The sequence below is a fragment of the Homo sapiens genome, chromosome 14, assembly GCF_000001405.40.
Source record: "Homo sapiens chromosome 14, GRCh38.p14 Primary Assembly".
Classification (NCBI taxonomy): Eukaryota; Metazoa; Chordata; class Mammalia; order Primates; family Hominidae; genus Homo; species Homo sapiens.
The window spans coordinates 69,611,714-69,633,285 of NC_000014.9; the positions used below are offsets into that span (position 1 = coordinate 69,611,714).

The 21,572-nt window shown below is 44.4% G+C and overlaps 1 protein-coding gene across 1 annotated transcript in view, besides 6 other annotated features; it reads left to right on the forward strand.

Annotated features, from left to right (window-relative positions):
- Positions 1 to 401: part of a silencer, noted in NCBI's record as "silent region_5882", that runs on past the window's edge. NCBI's record gives its function as "represses an Ori minimal core promoter by ATAC-STARR-seq in GM12878 lymphoblastoid cells {active_cell/tissue: GM12878}" and the evidence as "EXISTENCE:reporter gene assay evidence [ECO:0000049][PMID:35858748]".
- The window catches only part of SUSD6 (sushi domain containing 6), a 103,549-nt gene that overhangs the window by 118 nt on the left and 81,859 nt on the right, over positions 1 to 21,572 (forward strand). The window contains exon 1 of the mRNA NM_014734.4: positions 1 to 115. This exon is cut by the window's left edge and continues 118 nt beyond it. The gene's annotated coding sequence lies outside the window, so the exon portion shown is untranslated. The remainder of the gene's footprint in view (positions 116 to 21,572) is intronic.
- Positions 3,767 to 3,816: an enhancer, noted in NCBI's record as "active region_8638". NCBI's record gives its function as "activates an Ori minimal core promoter by ATAC-STARR-seq in GM12878 lymphoblastoid cells {active_cell/tissue: GM12878}" and the evidence as "EXISTENCE:reporter gene assay evidence [ECO:0000049][PMID:35858748]".
- Positions 4,087 to 4,296: an enhancer, noted in NCBI's record as "active region_8639". NCBI's record gives its function as "activates an Ori minimal core promoter by ATAC-STARR-seq in GM12878 lymphoblastoid cells {active_cell/tissue: GM12878}" and the evidence as "EXISTENCE:reporter gene assay evidence [ECO:0000049][PMID:35858748]".
- Positions 10,226 to 10,726: an enhancer, noted in NCBI's record as "H3K4me1 hESC enhancer chr14:70088656-70089156 (GRCh37/hg19 assembly coordinates)". NCBI's record gives its function as "activates a minimal SCP1, AML or CMV promoter by ChIP-STARR-seq in naive H9 embryonic stem cells {active_cell/tissue: H9 hESC(naive)}" and the evidence as "EXISTENCE:reporter gene assay evidence [ECO:0000049][PMID:30033119]".
- Positions 13,785 to 13,884: an enhancer, noted in NCBI's record as "active region_8640". NCBI's record gives its function as "activates an Ori minimal core promoter by ATAC-STARR-seq in GM12878 lymphoblastoid cells {active_cell/tissue: GM12878}" and the evidence as "EXISTENCE:reporter gene assay evidence [ECO:0000049][PMID:35858748]".
- Positions 14,225 to 14,324: an enhancer, noted in NCBI's record as "active region_8641". NCBI's record gives its function as "activates an Ori minimal core promoter by ATAC-STARR-seq in GM12878 lymphoblastoid cells {active_cell/tissue: GM12878}" and the evidence as "EXISTENCE:reporter gene assay evidence [ECO:0000049][PMID:35858748]".

The window sequence follows — 21,572 nt, forward strand, 5'->3', positions numbered from 1 at the left end:
AGCTAGACAAGGGCACGCGGGGCCTCGCCTAGACCCGAGAAGACTGCGGGCGCGCGCAAGCGGCGGCGTGGAAGCTGTGAGCGCCCCCATCCCGGAGGTCTCCGCCGGCTCCCGGGTGAGTTGTCACCGCGGCCCGGGGGCGGCGGGGCCGGCATTGTGCCATCGACGCGCTCGGCCGGCTGTCAGGGGCGCGGGACCAGCGCGCACCGCCCAGGAGTGACGCTGGCCGGAGCCCGGGCCGGCTTCGGCGGCTCCCCGCGCTTCTCTGCGCCGGCCCGCTGTCACCCGGCCGCGAGCCGCGCCGCTGGGAGCCCCGCGCTGGCGTGGCGCGGCCAGCCGGCCAGCAGTGGGGGCTGCGCGGCCGGGGGGACCGGCGGCTGGTTTGCGGCCGGGAACTTGGTGACCCGCGGTCCGGGGCGCGCCGTCCCGCGTCGCTGCCCGGGCAGCACCGGAAGAGCCAGACGCCGTGCCGATGGGTGCAGAGGAGGTAGGCAGAGGCCCTCTGTGCCACTGTCATTACTGCCCTCAGCCCAGCAAAGCTGCGGGGCTTGCGCTGGGGCAGGGCTGGCTTAGAGAAGGTGGATTTCCTGAGGAAATCTCAGAGCCCGCCTGTGCGCACCGCGGCATTCGGGAGCCCCCGCGCCTCGGCTGCTCTTTAATCTCAAAAACTTCTCTTATTAACCAGGCTAAACTCCCCGAAACCAGCTATTTTCTTTCAAAAAGTAGGCACGTACATACAGACTTTCCTTTTTTCGCTTGGTTTTGAGACCCCAGCTATGAGTGTGGATCTGACTCTCCCTCATGGGAGTCGTGGCTGGGGAGCTGCTGAAGTGGAGAAAAGTTACCCTGGACGAATTTAGGAGCAGGAGGGGGAGGTGGTTATGGGGACAGCAAGACCCAGGAGCAAAGAGGCGTCAAAATAAAGTCTTGGGCTGGTTAAAGGGAAGTTGGCGTCTGGGCAAGGAGGCCTAAAGCTGTTGTTCCCACAGAATTTTCTTTCAGTGGCAGGCGACATGCTGGGCTTTGTTGCTCTCGCTAACTGGGCTCCTGTGTGCTCTTCCAGAGGTGCAGTAAGATTACTCAGTTCAATTAGGCCTAGGGATTTACTCCCTTTTTTGATCTACAGAGATGGGAAGTATGTCTTTCCTTCACAGTAGTTAATTCATTTCTTGCTGTTTTCGTTCCTCTGGTGTAAAAACATACATAGGAGTTACGCACACACACCTTTTCTGTTTTGGGAATTCCACACCCAAACTGTCACCATCTAGTGGAGGCTAGTAGAGACATGTGCTTGGCACTGACTTCTGAGTTCTCTGGGTTTTGTGTTTTTAGCTAGAAGCATATTCAACCAGAAATTAAAATTTTCCTGGAGTTGGGGGAGGTATGTCTACATCTCAGGAAAGAAGGTATTTAAGCAGCAATAATATGGAAAGGTTCTTGAGGACTTACTGAGTACCAACCTTTGTGCTAAGGGCTTTACTTTTTTGAACTCATTTAATAACAGACTTTTGATGTAGATATTATTATCCCCATTCTTCTAGTTGAGACCCAAACCAAACAAGTTAAATAACTCGCCCATGTCACATAGGTATCTCATGGTGGAGCCCACAGTCTGAACTACTAGATTATACTGCTAGTTTCTGGTTTGTTTACCTTTTGATAAAATTGAACCTGGAGTCTTTCTAAAACCTTCTGAAAGCACTGCTGCTTCAGGCTGTTTCTCAGATCATGAGCATTCTAAACTCTTTCTCCTGGGTACACACTTACGGTATGTTTGCATAAGATTCATTTGTTCATTCTTTCATTCAGTACTCCCAAGTAGTTATGTGATACCGAATGTATGCCAGGCACTGTGCTAGGTATTGCAGGTACTGCATTGAATAAGTCAGAATCCAGCTCTCATGGACTCACAGCCTTTAAGTCCATTTGTTTTGGTTTATGTTGTTAGCTTTCATTGCTGGCCATTTGCTGCTGAAGGAACTTCTGCCCAGCGAGTTAAACAGAGGACAGTATTGGTATGAGTCCTGATAGATAGGACTTCCTGTCTGCAGAGTAATTTTTTGGATACTGTAGTAGAAATGGCATATGAAACAAATCCTCACTTACACCTAGATAGAGACAGGTGCCAGGGTGCTCAGTGTTTAAACCCTGAGAGCAAACCCACTGTCAAATGGGCAAGTTTGACTTCTTTCGCTGAAGCCTGCCTTCTGAAAGCCCAGAATTTGGTGAGATAGAAGAGAAAGAAGGGTAGAATGAGGTGTTACAGATACAGGCTGGCAGATAAAGAGACCTCAGCACTTTGTCTGTTTTCCTGGTCAGTCTCTGAGGTGTGGTGATTGAACTTGTGTTCTTTTTTATTTTTTATTTTTTTTGAGATGGAGTCTCGCTCTGTCACCCGGGCTGGAGTGCAGTGGCACGATCTCGGCTCACTGCAACCTTCACCTCCCAGGTTCAAACGATTCTCTGCCTCAGCCTCCTGAGCAGCTGGGACTACAGGTGCGTGTCATCACGCCTGGCTAATTTTTGTATTTTTAGTAGAGACTTGGTTTTACCATGTTGGCTAGGCTGGTCTCGAACGCCTGACCTCAGGTGATCTGCCCGTCTTGGCCTCCCAAAGTGTTGGGATTACGGGCGTGAGCCACCGTGCCCGGCCTGAACTTGTGTTCTTATGTAATGTTGCATCTCTCAGTAGGGGATGTCCTCCTTTGCTCTTTTGGTGGGGCAGCAATTCCTGCAGCAGCCTTCCCTCTACATGCACACACACACCCCTTCCAAAAGGTAATAATTCACCTGGTTTCTTTAAAGTTAGAACTTCTTTCAAGTTTATTGCTACTAAGCATTGTTTCACTCCCTCCACACTTGTCCATTTCCCACATAAAAACTTGGCTTTTGCTTCAAATATTTTCTTCTGCCCTTTTTTCATATCCTTAGCTCTTCTGACAACCAAGTTACTACTGGTATCATTTGTAGGCTGGGAGAAATACAGCATCTTTAAAAAAAAATAGTGAGGTACATACTCTTCCTCATTTCAGTACCAAACAAGTGAACTGTGGAGAATGAAGCAGAACCACTTGCCAGCAGAGAGGGAAGGCCAGAGGGCACACGTGGTTGTCTTTCCCCTCTAGTTCCCCATTTATTAAGAGACAATTCACACTTGCAGGCCCGAATGTCAGCAGATCCATTGGGCCCAGGTTGTGTAATTGCCATACATGAAGTGAGTTATTAAGCTCCTGAAATGACATGCTATCTCCTAGTTGAAGCTGACAAGCAGGATTTATTTTCCCTCTTCTTTCTGTCTGGACACTATGGAAGTCTTGTTAGAGGGTGTTCGCTCAAGCAGTGGGAGAAAGATCAGAAGGAGCCAATAGAGGAGGGAGCCCCATGTCTTGTCTTCTTTTCAACTTTGAGAGCAAACATTGCTTTGTTGCAGACTTGAATGTTGAGGATTAGGACATTTGGTTAAATGTAAGCTTTGGGACAAATGCAAAACTAGGGGAAATAGAGACTCTTTCCCCAGGTTTCTCACGAGCTCCATAGTACTCAGGAACCTTTGGGTGGACTGTCCTTGCGCGTCAAGATCTGTTCACTCCACCCCTGGCTTGGATTCAAGGCAACAGCCATTGTGTGTCCCTTGGATGAGTGTAAGTTTGTGTTTCTGTGTAAGAACCTTTCATCTTAAAAAGTACAAGTTCTGGGGAAAGGTGCCTCTTACAAGGCTTAGGTTTTCGCAGCAGAGCCTGTTAGGCACCTGTGTTCTTCTTGGGCTGATGTGTCTGCGATGGTGTCCTTTTTCTTCCCTTTTTAGTTTTTTTTGGCCTGGAAACCAGCAGGGTGCCTCCATTTGCTCTCTCATCCTCTGGTTCTTACTTGAGTGTGGAAGTCGCTCCACTGGTGGACCTTGCAGTGGCACTGAGCTGGGTCACTTCAGCCGTGAAAGGCCAACTGTACTACTGTCAAGGCTTGGGACAGTTAAGCGTCCGTGAAGGTACTGGATACAGCGACAGCAGGAAGTGCAGCAGTGAGAACTGAAACTAATTTCACAGACTGTGGTGTTGCCTGTGATGTAGTCTCCCTCCCTGGCTCTTCTATCTCAAAAAAGGAAAATAGCCACCCTTGAAACATCTGAAGGCTGCGTGCCAAGAATTCACACAGTACTCCTGAAACAGGATATTACTGAAGCATTTTTCTCAAACAGAAACAGATGTAGTTCCCTGTTACTGTCGCCAGTGTTAGTAGATCCTTAAAATTACCTGACAGCAGTGTGCCCCTAAATGTACTCCCCGCTCCTACACACATACACAAGTGTTTTATTTTATTTTATTTTTTGGCAAAGCCTCCTTCCTTGATTTGAGGGAAGTTAGCCTGGGATTCCTGATGACAGTAATAGATTCTCAGTGGGTTTGCAGACGGCAGAGGTGGTGACTGACAATTCTTTATTACTCAGAAGAGGATCTTCTCTGGTGAAAAATGATTCAGGATTCTGCAGTTGGAGATTGGATACAAAACCTCAGAGAAGGGACACAAATAGAGATCTTTCTCAGCCTCCCCTTTCTTGCTACCCTTTGTAGAGGAGAGGGAATGTCTCATATTTCTAAGTCCAACCTACTGCCAGCAGTGACTTGCCTTCACCCACAGAAATTTAAGATTAGAGTGTGGAATTGCCCTTTATGTAAACTGTCCTTGCTGAAATTTTCTTTGACTAGACTAGGCTTCAGCTTCTGACAAAGACAGTAAAATGAAACTGGCTTCTGGGAATGGCATAAGAGCCTGTTTATCCAATTCTTCCTTTAGATTGTTCTCAGTTGAGCTCAGCAAACTAAGTGGACGGAGGCTTGTAAAAGGTAACTGCAAAAAGGGTACAAGGTGATTTTGCTTAATTTGCATTTTAAATTATAGCAGTCTATGCAAACTGTTTGAAGGAAGACTGAGAGATGTTTTTTGGTGGGGAGGCACAAGATTACAGATAGCTTGGAAAATAAAAGGGAAAAAAAATCAGCATGATTCTACCACCCTAACATAATGTGTATTCTGTTTTTTCCATCTTCAGATGGTAGTACCTGTACATTCAGCTTTGTATTTTTTTCACTTAGCTTTTTTTTTTAACAGGTCATAAAATTCACCCATTTAAAGTACAATTCAGTGGTTTTTAGTATATTTACAGAGTTGTACATCTATCACCATAATCTAATTTTGCAACATTTTCATCACCCCAAAAAGTCACTCCCTATTTCTCTACAATCCCACCTAGCCCTAGGCAACCACTCATCTTTCTCTCTATATAGGTTTGCCTATTTGGACATTTCATATAGATGGAATCATATGATATGTGGTCTTTAATAACTGGCTTCTTTCACTTAGCATAATGTTTTTGAGGCTTATTCATGTTTTACCATGTATCAGTACTTCATTCCATTTTATTGCTGAATGCTATTCTGTTGTATTGATATACCACATTTTGTTTATCCATTCATCAGCTGATGGACAGTTGGGTTGTTTCTGTTTTTTGGTTATGAATAATATTGCAGTATTGCTAAGAACGTGTGTATAAGTTTTTCTGTGGGTATATGTTTTCATTTCTCAAGGAGATACCTTTAAAGCTGCATCCATCCATATCTCTACTTTGTGGTTAACATTCTCCTAGGTTATGCAGTTTGTTTGAGGAAGAACAGTGTTTTAGTAAACTCTTGATCCTACTGTGGTGTTGCGGATATTGCCCTGAATCAAGAAAAGGTGCCACCAAAAAAAAATCCAAAACCCAAAAACAAAAAGAGAGAATCCTGTTTTTAAGTTTGAACTCTCCAGTAGCATTGTTTCCAAATATTTGGTGCAGAACTTTAACCATTGGTGAGAGTTGACAGACGCGATAGTGCCTAAATTCAATGCACATGTACTGCTGCTTTAAACAAATAAAGAGGATTTTCAATGCGAAGCCTCAGCTCTAAATCTCATCTTTGTGTTTTATAGAGAGGACTTTACCATGAACCCCCAAAGCCTTCCTTATCAAATGTGATTTATAGTTCTCAGAAGCTTTTCCTTTTCTTGTGAAAAATTCCATGCCAGGGTTCTGTGCACCTGCTCAAAGGCTTCTGCTAGGTTGGGGAGTGGAATGCTTATTGAACAGAGAGCCAGCCAGCAAGGTAGGGAGGAGGGAGAGGGTCTGTGAGTGCCCTGAAAATGTAGATCTGAGAAAGAGTGCTCTTTAGAGCAGCCCCCACAGGGCTTTTCCAGGTGGACCTCAGGTGTAACCCGAGGTTAAAAACAGATCATGCCAGACACAAAAAGGAGCAGATGGTGCTGCTTGGAGTGTCATTTCCTCTACAGGATGTGTCCCTGTGTGGTTTTACATCATGCCAACCATATTAATGAAATAATGCAACAGAATGTCTCCTTTTGCCCTTGTTCCAATTGGAACCACAGGTTGAGTTTCCCTAACCTGAAATATGAAGTGCTCCAAAATCTTAAACTTTTTGAGCACCCACATGATGGAGAATTCCACACCTGACCTCATGTTTTAGGTCACAGTCAAAACTACCTTCAGTCTATGTGTATTACGTGTAAATGAAACATAAATGGATTTTATGTTTAGACCAGGGTCCCATCCCTGAGATACCTGATTATGTATATACAAATATTCGAAAATCTAAAACATTTGTGATCCCAAGCATTTCTGATAAAGGACACTCAGCCTGTACTAGCACTTGTGACCAACAGCTAGTCTTGCTTTCAACAGCTAGTCTTGCTTTCCCTGATCGTAGATCCCTACTAAAAGCTCTTGAAAGTGTGCATATGCAGGCTACCTAATGATTTAACGGAGGATCAAGATGGTTACACTGCAGAGAAACAGGAGGGATAGGGCATATGCCCTTTGTCCAGCAAGACAGACAAAAACTAGGAACTTGAATTCTCTTCTCTGGATTCCTGTATCTGGAGCCAAGGCCAAGGATCAGTTCTTCTAGAAAGTTCCCTCCTGTGTGTGTGTGTGTAAATGTGTGTGAATGCAGCCATAACTTCCCTGCCAAAATTCATTGCCAAAAATTTTGTGATTTGAAGCAGGCCTTACCTGTTAATGCAAATTTGATTCTCAAATCCTAAGAGTTTCCAAAGGTTGAGTGAAGTGAGATGAGACTCTTAGTTGAAGATCCAGATGCTTCACTGTTGCTATCTAGATGCTACCAAAACTCCCAGCACAACAAAGTATATGAAGAGAGGTTCTAGGTTCATGAAATGTTAGAGTTGGAAAAATGGGCCTTTGGGGTTCTTCTTATTCTACCTCCTCATTTTAAAGAAATGCAAGTGGGAAATGGATGCTCAGAGCTGACTTGCCTGAGAGGTGAAAGGGCTAGTGGAGAAGCCAGAGCCCCTGATTCCTAGTCTAGTGCTTTTCCCTCCCGGTGTGATCACCTCTTTGTTTCTCCCCCTCTTCTGGGCCTGGTCCCGGAATGGGGGTTGGGAGTCCAGCAGGGTGTCGTGGTTCATATTTTTGGGAACAAATTCAAGTTACTTCTGTGATTGTAGTTTTGAGTCTAATAGTGAAATTACAAAGGCAGTGAGTCATTAAGTCCAATTCTTCTGAAAGAAAACTGTTCTTAAAATGGGTGCAGAGCCCTCAGGGCTGCTCTGCCTATGGAGCAGCCATTCTTTATTCCTTTACTTTCTTAATAAACTTGCTTTCACTTTAAAAAATCGGTGTAGTTGTGTTTAGGCTGTGCCTGCTTAACTTTTAAATCTCTGTGCTGTGTATCTTTGCCATTCAAAAATGCCACCTGGCCTGGTACGGTGGCTCACACCTGTAATCCCAGCACTTTGGGAGGCTGAGGTGGGACAATTGCTCAAGACCAGTTCAAGACTAGCCTGGGCAGCATAGTGAGAGTCCACATCTCTACAGAAAAAAAAAAAAAAAATTAAAAATTAGCTGGGCATGGTGACACACACCTGTAGTCCCAGCTACTTGGGAGGCTGAAGTTGGGGGATCGCTTGAGCTTGGGAAGTCAAGACTGCAATGAGCTATGATGGTGCCACTGTACTCCAGCCTGGGTGACACAGTTGAGACCCTGTCTCAAAACAAACAAACAAAAAAAAACCACCTGACCCCAGGCCAATGGGATGTGTGCTCTGTCTGGGAGAACTGATCCCACACCTACACCCCATTAACCTACCAAACCCTTCAGAGCTGTGTCTCGACTTCCTTGGGCTTATTGTATGTGGAATCAGCTACCCACCTAAATGCAGCGTGAACACACATCTATAACTGTATGTCTCTAACCAGGCACAAAGGAAGCAAGTCATATATACTGGCTTTCCCCATCCCAGAAAGCCGGTGAACAGAGTCTTGTGTTTAGTGGGTGCTGCTGTTTCAGTTGGCATGCTTGAGCCATTGCTAGAAAAGTAACCAATGATATGTTATCTGGTCTACCCCTTTATCAATCCTCCATCTGCCTCCAGGTAGAAACTCTGCCATGGGAAGACCGTCTGCCTCCTTGTTTCTGTCCTGTGGGAATTTTGCTTGTTACACAGCAGAATAGCAAGAAAAACAGGCTCTGAGTTTCATAAGAATTCATCGATCCATCTTTCCTTTACATGTACCCTCAAGTCATAATAATTTGTGAGCCGATAATCTGGTTAGGCTATGATGTCAGACTGGTGGGAGGCTGGTAGGTGGTTGCTGCAGAAACCAAAGGGAAGTAAGTCTAGTTGTCTGGCAAATAATTAGTGGATGTCTGTTCTAGGCACTAGGTATACAGTTGTGAACAAAGAACAAAATGGTCATAATACTTGCTGGCATGGAGTTAGCATACTGCGGGAATACTCACGAGGTTTTTAATTTGAGAGTAGTGTTGGAGGAATTTTTTGTGTACGGTAGACTTTCAGCTTGATTGTTTGGGATTTGTCAGTTACTTCTGTGCTCCAAACCACAGTCATCCTGGAAGGGAAGAACTTGAAAAGTATCGTTAGAGAGTTTCCCCTAGTCTCCCCATTAAATAAATGAATTGTCTTTCTCTGCAGTGAGCTAGGTCTAACAGTTTGGTGTGCTTTGAGGATTCCTGTTTCTTGCTTTATTTAATCAACTAGTTTTTAATCTGGGAATGTTTTCAGACCTTGACATATCCTATTTTTAATTAAAAGAAAAAAGGAGATGTGGGTTCAACTATGAGAAACTGGGAGAAGGGGAATAAGAGGATCAGTGGCATGAATTCCTTAGGGAATCTTTTTTCTTCCATCTCCCTCAAGCCTCAATTTTAGATAGAAATGTTGATTTGTGAGATCTTTTTCCTGATATATTTGTGGCTTTACAACCTGCTGGGGACAGTAAAGGACCTAGTTCCCAGTAAACGTACGCCCTCCCCCTATATTTTACCTCTTTGGGTGGCCATCTCTGTGTAGGCCCTGGTTCCAGGCTGACATTGGAAGTTCCCTGAGGTTGGTGACTGTCTGATCCACTTCCTTGTACCCCCTCCTGGATTAATTGGATGATTAATAAATGATTGACCAGGTGTAGGGGATTAAAATAACAAGTATAGGAGGGCAGGGTGACTTTGAGGTTATGAGCCTTGATGACAAGGAATGAAAGAGTGGTATTATTGATGAAATTCTAAAAATGGAGTCATTTGTAGGGAGGCCTGGTTTGAGTGAAAAACAAATATAAACAGGGTGTTAAAAAGCTGTTAACATTCACCAAGTTCACCCTGTCTGGTGGCAGGAAAAGAAGTCAGCTCAGGAACCATGGCAGTGGGAGGTGAAGGAGAGAGAGGGTATTAGAGGTTGTCCAGAATGTTTTAGCAAGGCCAATCAGAAACAAACTATAGGGTCCCCTTATTATGGGGCTGAAGACCAGAAAGTCATCCCTGCTAATTTTTAGGTAGCAGATCTTTGTTTCTAGAATTCTGTTCTTTTAAAAGCCTTGGGAGGCATCATTCATTCCTGAAAGTCAACTTACACATTTGCCTCTGTAGTTTGGAGAGAAATATATTTAGTATCCAGTGTGTCAGGTTGCAGGCAAGGAAGTAGTTAACACTTTTCTCTTTGTTCTCCACAATTGAACTGTTTTTGGGGGGGCAGTTCTACTGCTTCTGGAATTACATAATTGTGTGGGTCATCTCCTTTGAAGGTCTGTCCATGCTTTTTTTAAAGCACATCGTTGAAAGAAGGGTGCTCTGTACAAATGCTGACATGCTTTTCTCTTGGGTTATACGTGAGCAATTGTAGAATGAACAGACTTCAGGGTTTTGGTGTTGGTATAGCTTTCTGTGAATAGTGAAGGTATTAGGAGGCTAATGTTAAGGCAGCAGGTGAGGTGGTTTTCAGGCAACACATCTGAACTCATTAATTGATCAAGTATTTATCAGATGCTCTTTCCTATATACTAATTATCTCCCCAAAGGAATTCTTTGCAGCACAAAAGTTTAACACTTAATTATACATTTTGAGTTGTTCTCCAGTGTTTTTTTGGCTTTTTTGTTTGTTTGTTTTTTGAAACAGGGTCTTGTTCTGTCGCCCAGGCTAGAGTGTAGTGGTACCATCGCGGCTCGCTGCAGCCTTGACCTTACGGGCTTATGCGATCCTCCCACCTCAGCCTCCTGAATAGCTGGGACTACAGGCATGTGTCACCATGCCCGGCCAATTTTTTTGGATTTTTTTGCAGAGACGGGGTTTTGCCATGTTGCCCAGGCCGGTCTTGAGCTCCTGGACTCAAGTGATCCGCCTGCCTCAGCCTCCCAAAGTGCCGGGATTACAGGCATGAGCTACCACCCCGGCCCAGTGTTTTGGTTAGTCTCTTCTCCTCATAGATTTCAACCGCCTTGAGGATGGTTTACGTTTCTCTGTGTTTACTGTGCAGACTGGACATCCATATTCATAGCAGTAAAGATTTCTTCATTTTACAAACTGCTTTTTGTTTTTTTGAGATGGAGTCTCACTCTGTTGCGCAGGCTGGAGTGCAGTGGTGCGATCTCGGCTCACTGCAACCTCTGTCTCCCAGGTTCGAGCGATTCTCCTGCCTCAGCCTCCCGAGTAGCTGGGATTACAGGCGCCCACCACCACGCCTGGCTAATTTTTGTATTTTTAGTAGAGATGAAGTTTCACTATGTTGGTCAGGCTGGTCTCGAACTCCTGACCACAAGTGATCTGCCCACTTTGGCCTCACAAAGTGTTGGGATTGCAGGCGTGAGCCACAGCGTCCGGCCAAACTGCTTTCATGTAAGATATCGCATACTGTCAGGAAGATTGTACTCCCATTTTACAAATGGGAAAGATAAGACCTTTGGCAACCAGTATGCATATGGCAGCAACTGTACTTGTATGTAGTAGTGATGTTCAGTCAGCTGGGGTTCAAATGCTAAATCAGACACCGGTATGATAGCACATGTTGAGAGGTGGGAAACCTCCTAGGATTGCAGACTTGATTAACTTGCCAAGGAACAGCAAACAGCAACATGATAGCAACAGCCCCTTTTTGGTTCCTCCATCCCCATCTCGTTACAGGTACCCTAAAGTCAGCATGTATTTGTGTACTAATGGAACAAAAATACGAACATGTGCATACAGTCATGTGCAGTGTAATAACATTTTGCTGCATATATGATGGTGGTTCCATAAGATTATAATGGAACTGAAAAATTTCTATCATCTAGTGACATTGTAGCCATGGTAAGGTCATAGCACAATGCATTACTCACCTGTTTGTGGTGATGCTGTTACAAATAAAGCTACAGCATGGCCAGTTGTATTAGAGTCTAGCACATACAATTATGTATAGTACATAATACTTGATGATAATAACAGTGTTTCTGGTTTATATATTTACTATACCATGTTTTTTGTCATCAATATAGACTGTACTCCTTCTACTTAGGAAAAAACTCCCCAAAAAAACAGTTAACTGTAAAACAGCCTCAGGCAGATCCTTCAGCAGGTTTTCCAGGAGGCATTGTTACAGGAAATAACAGTTCTGTTCCTGCCTTTGAAGACTACTAGTGAAATAAGATGCTGAGATGGAAGATAGTGATATAGATGATCCTTACCCTGTGTAGGCCTAGGCTAATGTGTGTGTTTGTGTCTTAGTTTTTTAACAAAAAAAGATTTTTTAAAATAGAAAATAGCTTATAGATAAGGATATAAAGAAAGAAAATATTTTGTCACAGCTGTATGTCTTAACCTAGGTGTTATTACAAATGAGTCAAAAAGTTTAAAATAATTAAAAAGTTTATAAAGTAAAAAAGTCACAGTAAGCTAAGGTTAATTTATAGAAGAAAAAATTTTAAAAAATATGTAGCCTAAGTGTACAGTGTTTATAAAGTCTACAGTAATGTACAGTAATGTCCTAGGCCTTCACACTCCATTCACTCACTTACCCAGGGCAATTTGCAGTCCTGCAAGCCCCATTCGTGGTAAGTGCCCTATACAGATGTACCATTTTTTATCTTTTATACCATATTGTATTTTTTCTATGTTTAAGTATGTTTAGATACACAATTACCATCATGTTAGAGTTGCCTACAGTATTCAGTAACATATCTGCTGTACAGGTTTGTAGCCTAGGCTATGCCATGTAGCTGAGGTGTATAGTAGGCTATGCCATTTAGGTTTATGTAAGTACACTCTGTGATGTCCACACAACAACATTGCCTAATGACACATTTCTCAGAAAGTATCCACGGAATCAGAGTGACCCTGCTTCAGTCTCAGTTCTGCCATGTATCAGCCATATGACCTTGAGCAAATTTAACCTCTTTGATACTTAGTTGTTTTTTTTTTTTTTTTGAGAGGGAGTTTCGGTCTTGTTGCCCAGGCTGGAGTGCCATGGCCTGATCTCGGCTCACCGCAACCTCTGCCTCCCAGGTTCAAGCGATTCTCCTACCTCAGCCTCCCAAGTAGCTGGGCTTACAGGCATGTGGCACCATATCCGGCTAATTTTTTTGTATTTTTAGTAGAGACGGAGTTTCTCCATGTTGGTCAGGCTGGTCTCGAACTCCCGACCTCAGGTGATCCACCTGCCTTGGCCTCCCAAAGTGCTGGAATTACAGGCGTGAGCCACCGTGCCTGGCCGATACTTAGTTTTATCATTTGTAGGATAGAAATGATGTTAACACTACCCATCTATAGAAGGGTGGCTACCAAAATTTTGATTATTGCCTGGTGTGGGGAATTCTGGATGTGAATGGTAAAGGATAAAGGGAACTTTAACTTCTTAAACTTGCTTTTTGTTTCATTTGAATTTTTTGCTATTGGCATGTATAACTTGAATAATTTATTAAAATTACATTTAAAAGTACTCCCTTGTAGAATTTTATGAAAATCAAATGAAATGGGATATTTAAAAAGATAGGTATGTGTCTGACAACTAAAAGATACTTAAATGGCAGTTTGGGGAAGTATTAATTAGTGGCTGACCCTTTTGTAGTGTTAAATGTTCTGTCTGACTGTGTGGCTTCAGGTAGGTCTCTTAACTTTGTTAAGCTCCAGCTTCTTTAACTGAAATTGGGAGTTAAGAGTAGTGTGTATTCCACGGGGGGTTTTGAGGATTAAATGATTCTAGATGGTTAAGCAGTTAACTCAGTATCTGGCACATAGTTAAGTACCCAGTAAATATTAACTGTTATCAGCTTTTATCCTCACTATGCTTGAAGAGAGGAGGCAGTGAGTGTAACTTTACCTACTTTAAAGTTACAGAAAATGAGGCACAGGGTAGTGGGTGACTTGTCCTAAGGCTAGATGTTGGGTTAGCAGCAGAAACGGGGCTGACGCCTACATGGTCTCCTTCATGTTTCAGTGCAGCCCTGTCAGAGTGGGTGGCAGCAAACCACGGAGGCTTCTCGGATGTGCAGACAGGAAGCACTGGCCAGGACTGCGGATGTGAAGCTCAGCAGAACATGGCCGGTCTGGACAGAGGGGGTTAGCAAGGGTCAATGTGGGGCTGAGTGAGTGAGAGAAGCCAGCTTAGAACCACATCCTTTTTCCACCTTCCAGGGCAGATGGACCACATCCAGAGTGATCAAAAGGAGAGGCTTGTTTCCTCTCTCCGCCTCCTGGTCTTGTATGTGGCACACTCTTTACCACTCCCCTCGTGGGCTCAGTTCTCTGAACTCTGTCACATCCAGAAAATTCAGGTCTGGCCTTCTCTGTGAAACCATCTCTGCTGCTGGAGTCCTCACTGACAGCCACACCACCCGCGTCTGCTCATCCTCTCCCGCTTTCAACCTGGATGGCCTGTGTGAGGATGGCTTTGCTTCTCTAAGGAAGGCCTCTCTCCCTATACCACTTTAGTGCTCCCCATGGTGTTCCACCTGCTCCCAGAACAATCTGCCTGTTTGTGGGACTGAATGGTTGAGTTGAAGCCAGTCTTGGTGGGAAATAGGTTTGGAGCTTCTCTGTGGGCTCCTCTTCTGTGTATTTGCATTTTGAGAGGGGGGAAAAAAAGCCCTGAGTGATTTCTGCCTAGTACGGTTTCCAGAGAATGCGAGATTCTCCTCCTCAAACTCAGTCCTGGGGCCAGAGCTGATTAAGCCCCCGGCTTCCCACCTTCCCACCTTGGGTTTTTACAGTATACTTCTTATCCTTGCCCTTTCTGTTCTCTGCTTATCAGACCTTCCCACATGTGCCCTGCTCTCTTCCTGCTGCACAGGGGTCATGAAATACTTACCAATTAGTGAAAAATACAGACAATGCAGTGTCAAATTTTACCAATCTCAGTTTGCACAGTGGACTGGAAGATGGCATGTGCCATCTTCTTGCAGGACTTGATTGTTTTTGTGTTTGCGTGTGTTTCAAATATTTCCTTTTCCAAATTTGCGTTTAATGGTGGCTGGCAAACCCCCATAGTTCACTTTTCATTTTTCGTTGTAGATATTCTTTGAATATCTCCTTGCTATGGGTATTGGGCTTACATTTAATAATTCCCCATCAGGATCTGAAAAGTATGAGGGTGCCTACCTATGAAGCACCCATTTTTTTCATGCTTAATACCAACTAAGTCACCAGACTTTTTTTTCGAGATAGGGTCTTGTTCTGTTGCCCAAATTGGAGTGCAGTGGCTTGATCATAGCTCACTATAGCTTCGAACTCCTGGACTTAAGTGCTTATCTTCCCAGCTCAGCCTCCTAAGCAGCTCGGATTACAGGCACGCATCACTATACCTGGCTAATTAAAAAAAAAAACGTGTTTTTTTTTTGTCTTGCTGTGTTCCCCAGGTTGGTCTTGAAGCCCTGGCCTCAAGTGATCCTCCTGCTTTGGCCTCCCAAAGTGCTGGGATTACAGGCATGAGCCACTGCAACTGGCCTGTCCCACTTCTTTAGAGGACTCTGCTCTGACTCCCACTAGCTTGGCAACAGGTGGATCCTAGAGGATGTTAAAGACCTCATGGAAGGGACCCTCTTAACTAATTGCAAAATAAGAATGTTCATTGGAAAAGAAACCCTCCCACCACCATGGTGGAAGTCCCTCTAAAACACAAGTTGTTCAGGACTTTTATTATGTTGCTCTAGTATTTATCTGGTTTTTGAAGATAGTCTTGCTTAAATTAATTCTGATTTCAAGAGTGATGACTAAAAGTTTTGGAGGAGGTGTTTAGAAAAGGATGAAGCTCTGGGTTTATTTCAGGGCTAATCATGAATTTGCAGGAGCAGCTTCAGGACACCAGGGAGAGGCATGGCACACTGCCTTGGAGCTGTCCTTAGGATGCTGCTACCTTTTAGGGACATACTGTAGGCAGTCCTTGGTCTATGTAAAGTTGTGCCTGGGCCTTATCAGAAATTAAACAGATGTTATTTATTTATTTATTTTTTCTTTTTGAGACAGAGTCTCACTCTGTTCCCCAGGCTGGAGTGCAGTGGCAGGATCTTGGCTCACCACAAGCTCCATGCCATTCTCCTGCCACAGCCTCCTGAGTAGCTGAGATTACAGGCGCCCACCACCACGCCTGGCTAATTTTTTGTATTTTTAGTAGAGATGGGGTTTCACCGTGTTAGCCAGGATGGTCTCGATCTCCTGACCTCATGATCCGCCTGCCTCGGCCTCCCAAAGTGCTGGGATTACAGGCGTGAGCCACCGTGCCCGGCCCAGATGGTATTTCTAGTAAAAGTGGCAGATGTTCTTGCTGTCAGAATTAATTTTAATCTTTTTACATGTAAATGTGGGATTATGGGACTCTTTTTGGGGGGTCTTAGTCTCATATGGAAGTGCTGCTCTTACTTTACAGAGATTTTATCTATCCCTTGCTCTTACCCAAAGTGACTTTTTTTTTTTTTGAGATGGAGTCTCGCTCTGTCACCCAGTCTGGAGGGCAGTGGCGCGATCTTGACTCACTGCAGTCTTTGTCTCCTGGGTTCAAGCGATTCTTCTGCCTCAGCTCCTACGTAGCTGGGATTACAGGCACCTGCCACCACGCCCAGGTAATTTTTGGATTTTTAGTAGAGACGGGGTTTCACCATGTTGGCCAGGCTGGTCTGGAACTCCTGACCTCAGGTGATCCACCCACCTCTGCCTCCCAAAGTGCTGGGATTACAGACATGAGCCACTGCTCTCGGCCCCAAAGTGACTCTGAACTCTGTTTTCCCATCCCCTCTGATCACTTTCTCTCACCACGTGGGTCATTTGTGGTGGCAAAGTACAAAGTGACCAGCCTTCTCTCTCATAGAATTTGAAGGTTGCTGATGGGGCTATGTTACTAATGGGGCTGTGTGCTTGCTACAGAGATACTGCTGGTGATGAAAGTGTATGACATTTCTGTTATTCCTTTGGGTTAAGACATCTGTATTTAGCAGGTATTATACCTAGAAGGAGTGTCTATATCAGAGTATCCCAGAAAAGAAAGAAGAAAAATCCCCTGGGGAGTGGGAAAAGGCAGAAAGTATTGAATGTGTGCCCTGTGCCAGGCAGTGTGCTCAGTGCTTTAACTCGGTAGGCTAATCTTCACTGGATAAATCAGGAAACCAAGCTCTGAAACATTTCAGTACTGTTAATTACTGTATTGGAACTAGAACCAAGGTTGGAGTGATTCTAAAGCCTGTGGTGGGTTTTTTTTTTTTTTTTTTTGAGACAGGGTATCACTCTGTTGTCCAGGCTGGAGTGCAGTGGGGCTATGTAGGCTCACTGCAGCCTCCGCCTCCCCACCTCAGCCCCCAACCCCAGTAGCTGGGACTACAGGCACATACCACTACACCCAGCTAATTTTTGTATTTTTTGAAGAGATGGGGTTTTGCCATGTTACCCAGGCTGGTCTTGAACTCCTGGGCTCAAGTGATCTGCCAGCCTTGGCCTCCCAAAGTGCTGGGATTACAAGCATGAGCCACTGAGCTCGGTTCTGCCTATGGTTATTTTATGGCAGGTAAAGAATATGTGGATTCGAAAGTTGGGTGGGGGATGAGGTGGTGAGGGAGGCAGAGAACAAATGCCTGGAGAGAGGAGGGTAGGGCCAGGTGGGAGTTGCAGTGGAGGGGCACTTGGGAGTGAATGGTCCTGGTGAGGGTGTGGAAAGGAGGGGTTGGTTAGCAAAAACAAGCTGAAGTGGAAGAGAGGTTGGGGGTCCCTTGGAGGGGGTGTAATGTTGGATGATGGCATTTCTTCCCTGAGGGACGAGGGATGGACCAGAGGAGCCTGGAGGACCAGATAACCTCTGTATTTAGGTAGATGGCCGTTGGGCCCCCACAGGAAGCCTTTTAATCCCTGGTATTTATAGACTGGCCTGTACTCTACTGAAAGGCAGCTCCCATATCAGTCAGCAAAGGCAACATTATCTGCCTTTGAAACACCACCTCCGTGGATTACCATTTGGCCCAATGGGAGGGTCTGGATAATGCCCATTATATTATCCTAATTCCCTGCTACCTCAGAGGTTGTTAAGGGGCACTTCTGCTGTTTCCCTCTGAGTGACCTCTGGCTGCCACTCTCTTGCAGATGCTCCTTTTCCTCTCAGGGATGAGTCGGAGCTGGGACTGGGAAAGGCAGCCCTCTTGTTTCTGTTCAAGTTGGCCAGGAATGCCCAGGAATGATGATTCTGTTTTGCCAGCTTCTTGCCGTGAGGCTGGGGTTGCTGTGTTTACAGCACAACCAACCCTAAAGTCAGTGCAATTCACTGTGGATTTATTGAGCACCTGCTAGTATGTGCGTGTGTTGGGGGTGGTATATGAAAATGATGGAGGCAGGTCTCTGCCTTAAATGAGGGAGGGTGGGCAAACAGCTCCCACGGTCGGCGGTTGAACCAGTTCCTATTCTTTCTCATAGGAAGTGTCCATAAACATTGTCTTGTCTCATTTGCATGGTTGTTGAGAGGTTTGAATGTAGTGGTAATGAATTGAGAGTGCTTCTAAAGGTATTAAGCTCTTGATTTATGTAAAACTTTCTTCAGTATTACTAGGCAGGCTGATAATAAAAGCTAACATATATTGAATGCTTTCTATTTGCCAGGCACTGCCCTAAGTGCTTTCTATATATTAGCTTATTTAATCTTTATAGCAACTTTGAAGTAGATTGCTTGTGTACCCACTTAAAAGAGGATTAAAAAAACTTGCCGAGGATGGCACAGCAGGTAAGTAGCAGAGCCAGGCAGTCTGAACGTTTGGCCAAACACTGGCCACTGTAAAGATCTTGTGGAAGTCAGGGAGTAGAGGTGGTCTCTCTCCCCCAAGTGAAGGCAGCAGCCAGGACCTACCGTCAGAGACCAGCAAGGAGCAGAGAAAGGTCAGGCTGGTGCCTCAGAAAGCATCAGCATTTCTGCACAACTTAATTAAATTACTGAAACCTTTTCTGAGCTTGGAGCCATCTTTCTTGGAGAGTAATACAATTGAAACAGATAATTTAAGCCAAGGAGGAAGGACAGAATTGGTGAGCTCACATATGTAGATGGACATGTAATGACGTCTGACTAAAACACAGAGGAAAAACCTTAAAGTGAATCATGTTTATTCAATTTCCAAACAAGTGCAAAGACCCAGGCAGCGTGCTTCATGTTTGGACTCTTGAAGAACACACATGGAAAAAAAAAAAGAAAAAAACCTCTTCCCCTCTCAACCCTTTTCTAAGTTTTTATTAAGAATATATTAATTTGAGCATTAATATGCAATGTATCCATCTTTGTCAGTTATTTTCCAGAAAAATCTAGCTCATTTTTTGAGGCAACTTCTAGCCAAGTTGTTTCAGTTGTGGAGAATTGGGGTCAAGCGTACATGCTGATCATGGAAAAAGCAATCTTAAATGCACGCCTGTAAAGAGGACTCTGAGAGTTCATGTTTCTGAATTCTTGTTTTACTCCACTCCATTCTGTCAACAGCTTTCTTAACATGAGGTGCCTGTGACTTAAAGTGATTATCTGTTTCCTTAGCAATTCAGGGGACTTAACCATCATCTAGTGACCTGTGTCCCCAAAGCTTGCTGTGGCTTCAGAGGTCTCCTGGAATGCCCCAAGGCAGTGTCACTCAAAGTATGCTTTAGCATCACCTGGGCCACCTTAGACTTTCAAAATCAGCCCTCACATGTGCATGTTCAGCTGGCTTTCTGCTGCTTCTCAAGCCAAGTCCAAGTCCCACCCCACCTCAAGGGGGTGCATAGCTGCAAGCAGCAGGGGAACAATCTTCAGACCTTCCCATCTCTTTTTATAATGATGCCTCCTAGTCCATAGTATATCTAGGATAATTTTAACATTTAAAATGAATTATGTTATATAAAATGGAATAAATTTCAACTCTACCAAGATTGCATGCTTTTGGGTCAGACTGTTTAGTTTGATATCTTGGTCTCATCACTTTCTATCTGTGTAAGCTTGGATAGGTTATTTAGCCCTTCTGCTTCTGTTTTTTGTTTTGTTTTGTTTTGCCTAAAACGGATATAACAGTACCTACCTTTTAAGGTTGTTGCAAGGATTAAATAAGATATTAGATGTAAAATGCTTACATCTGTGCGCAGTGACTAAGCACTCAAATGCCAGTTAATAATAATAATTCTGTGATTATCCTGAGGTTTCATGTTTCTGGAGTAGGATTATGACCACAACATTTACAGAATGAAGTCCTGCAGGATGACAAAACATCCCTGTCCCCATTGACACAGCCCCAAGTCACGGGCTTGCAAAAGAATGTTTGCCATCCCTAGGAAGCCTAACACAGGGCGCTGGGAAATGCTTGCAAAAGCAGATATTCTCAGGTCACATCCTTTTAGTTTTCTGAGGCCCCTGTGTTTAAAGGTACAGCATGACTGTTCTAGGGTGGTCAGAATCTGTCACAGGTGGGAGGGAAGTACTTGTTTAGAATATGGCAGAGAATCCACCAAGGTGTTAATACCAACAACAGTTTCTTCTTCATTCTGGGCTTTTTCCTCCCCTTATGCTTGTTTAATGGTTGGGAAAGAGGGCTAAATTGTACTTTTCCTTTGTAAAGGTGCACATCTCAAATTTGTTTCCCCTAGTAGCTTGTTTTTTAAAAAGTTTTAAGACATGACAAATTATACTTCTTTTTGGAAGAAAGATTAGGAAATACAGGTTAATGGCAACCCTTCCAGAGAGCACCACTGTTCACCCTGCTATTGCCCTGCTGCTTCTCTCCCTGGTCTAGGATGTCAGGGACGGCAGAGTGGCCAGGTGGAGGGGTCAGGCTTCAGAGGGAGGAGCTGCATTTCTGGGAGCCAGGCTGGCCCTCCTGTTGCTCTCAGGGCTGACACTTCTCTGTCTCATCCCTCCTCCCTCAGTAAATGCAGCTGGGGAGGATTGCCTAGAAGGGGAAAACTCATCGTGTAAGGAGAACACTTCCCTCGTGGCTTTTAAAATGTAATGCTTCCTTCCCCTTTTCTCTTCTTCCCAGAGTAAGAGCTGCCAGTAAAACTTCAGTGCAGGACTGTTGAGACGTATTTGTCATGATGTGATGGACAAAAGAATTGTCAGCTCCTCCTTTCTGTATCATCTCATTGATCCCCCTTTACCCCCTTGCAAATGAGAATTACAGGAAATCACAACTAGCATTAAAAAAAAAAAACAAAACACTGGGCAGATGGGAAGGATGAAATGTGTAACCCCCGTTCCCAGAAACAGGCAGAATGGCTGAGATGACTGACCCTAGCATTTGGTGTTCACTGAGCCAAAGCATTGCCTGAAGATAATGACACCGTCTGGAAATCAAAACCTGAGTCTTCCTGCTCTCATCCAAAACTCCCCTCTTTTGAGCTTCTCCAATCTAGTCAGTGACCCGCCCTCCCAGTTCTTTCTTTCACAGGTTCCTATCTCCACCACCCTAACCAGACCTTGTCATCCGCTGGCCTTCCAGGCTGTTTCAATCTCTCTTGCCAGGTTCACCCTGCTAGAACACGGTTCTCCTCTCCGGTGAGACTAGGTAAGAGAAAAAAGCCCTATGTGTATGAGGTAGCATTCCTATCCCTTCCTATGGTAGAGGTGTTCCTTCAGGATATTCTTGGTCCTCAAATATAGGAGGCCTTTAGGAAATGATTGTTGAACTGGATTAGGTCAGGTTTCCTGCTCAAGAATATTTGTTGACTTCCCACTACTTACTGATCCAAGGCAGAATTTCTCTGCCTGTTTTTCATGGCTGTGCAAACTGGCCTTACCTTAAATATTCAGTTGAATACTCAATACTTTGTGG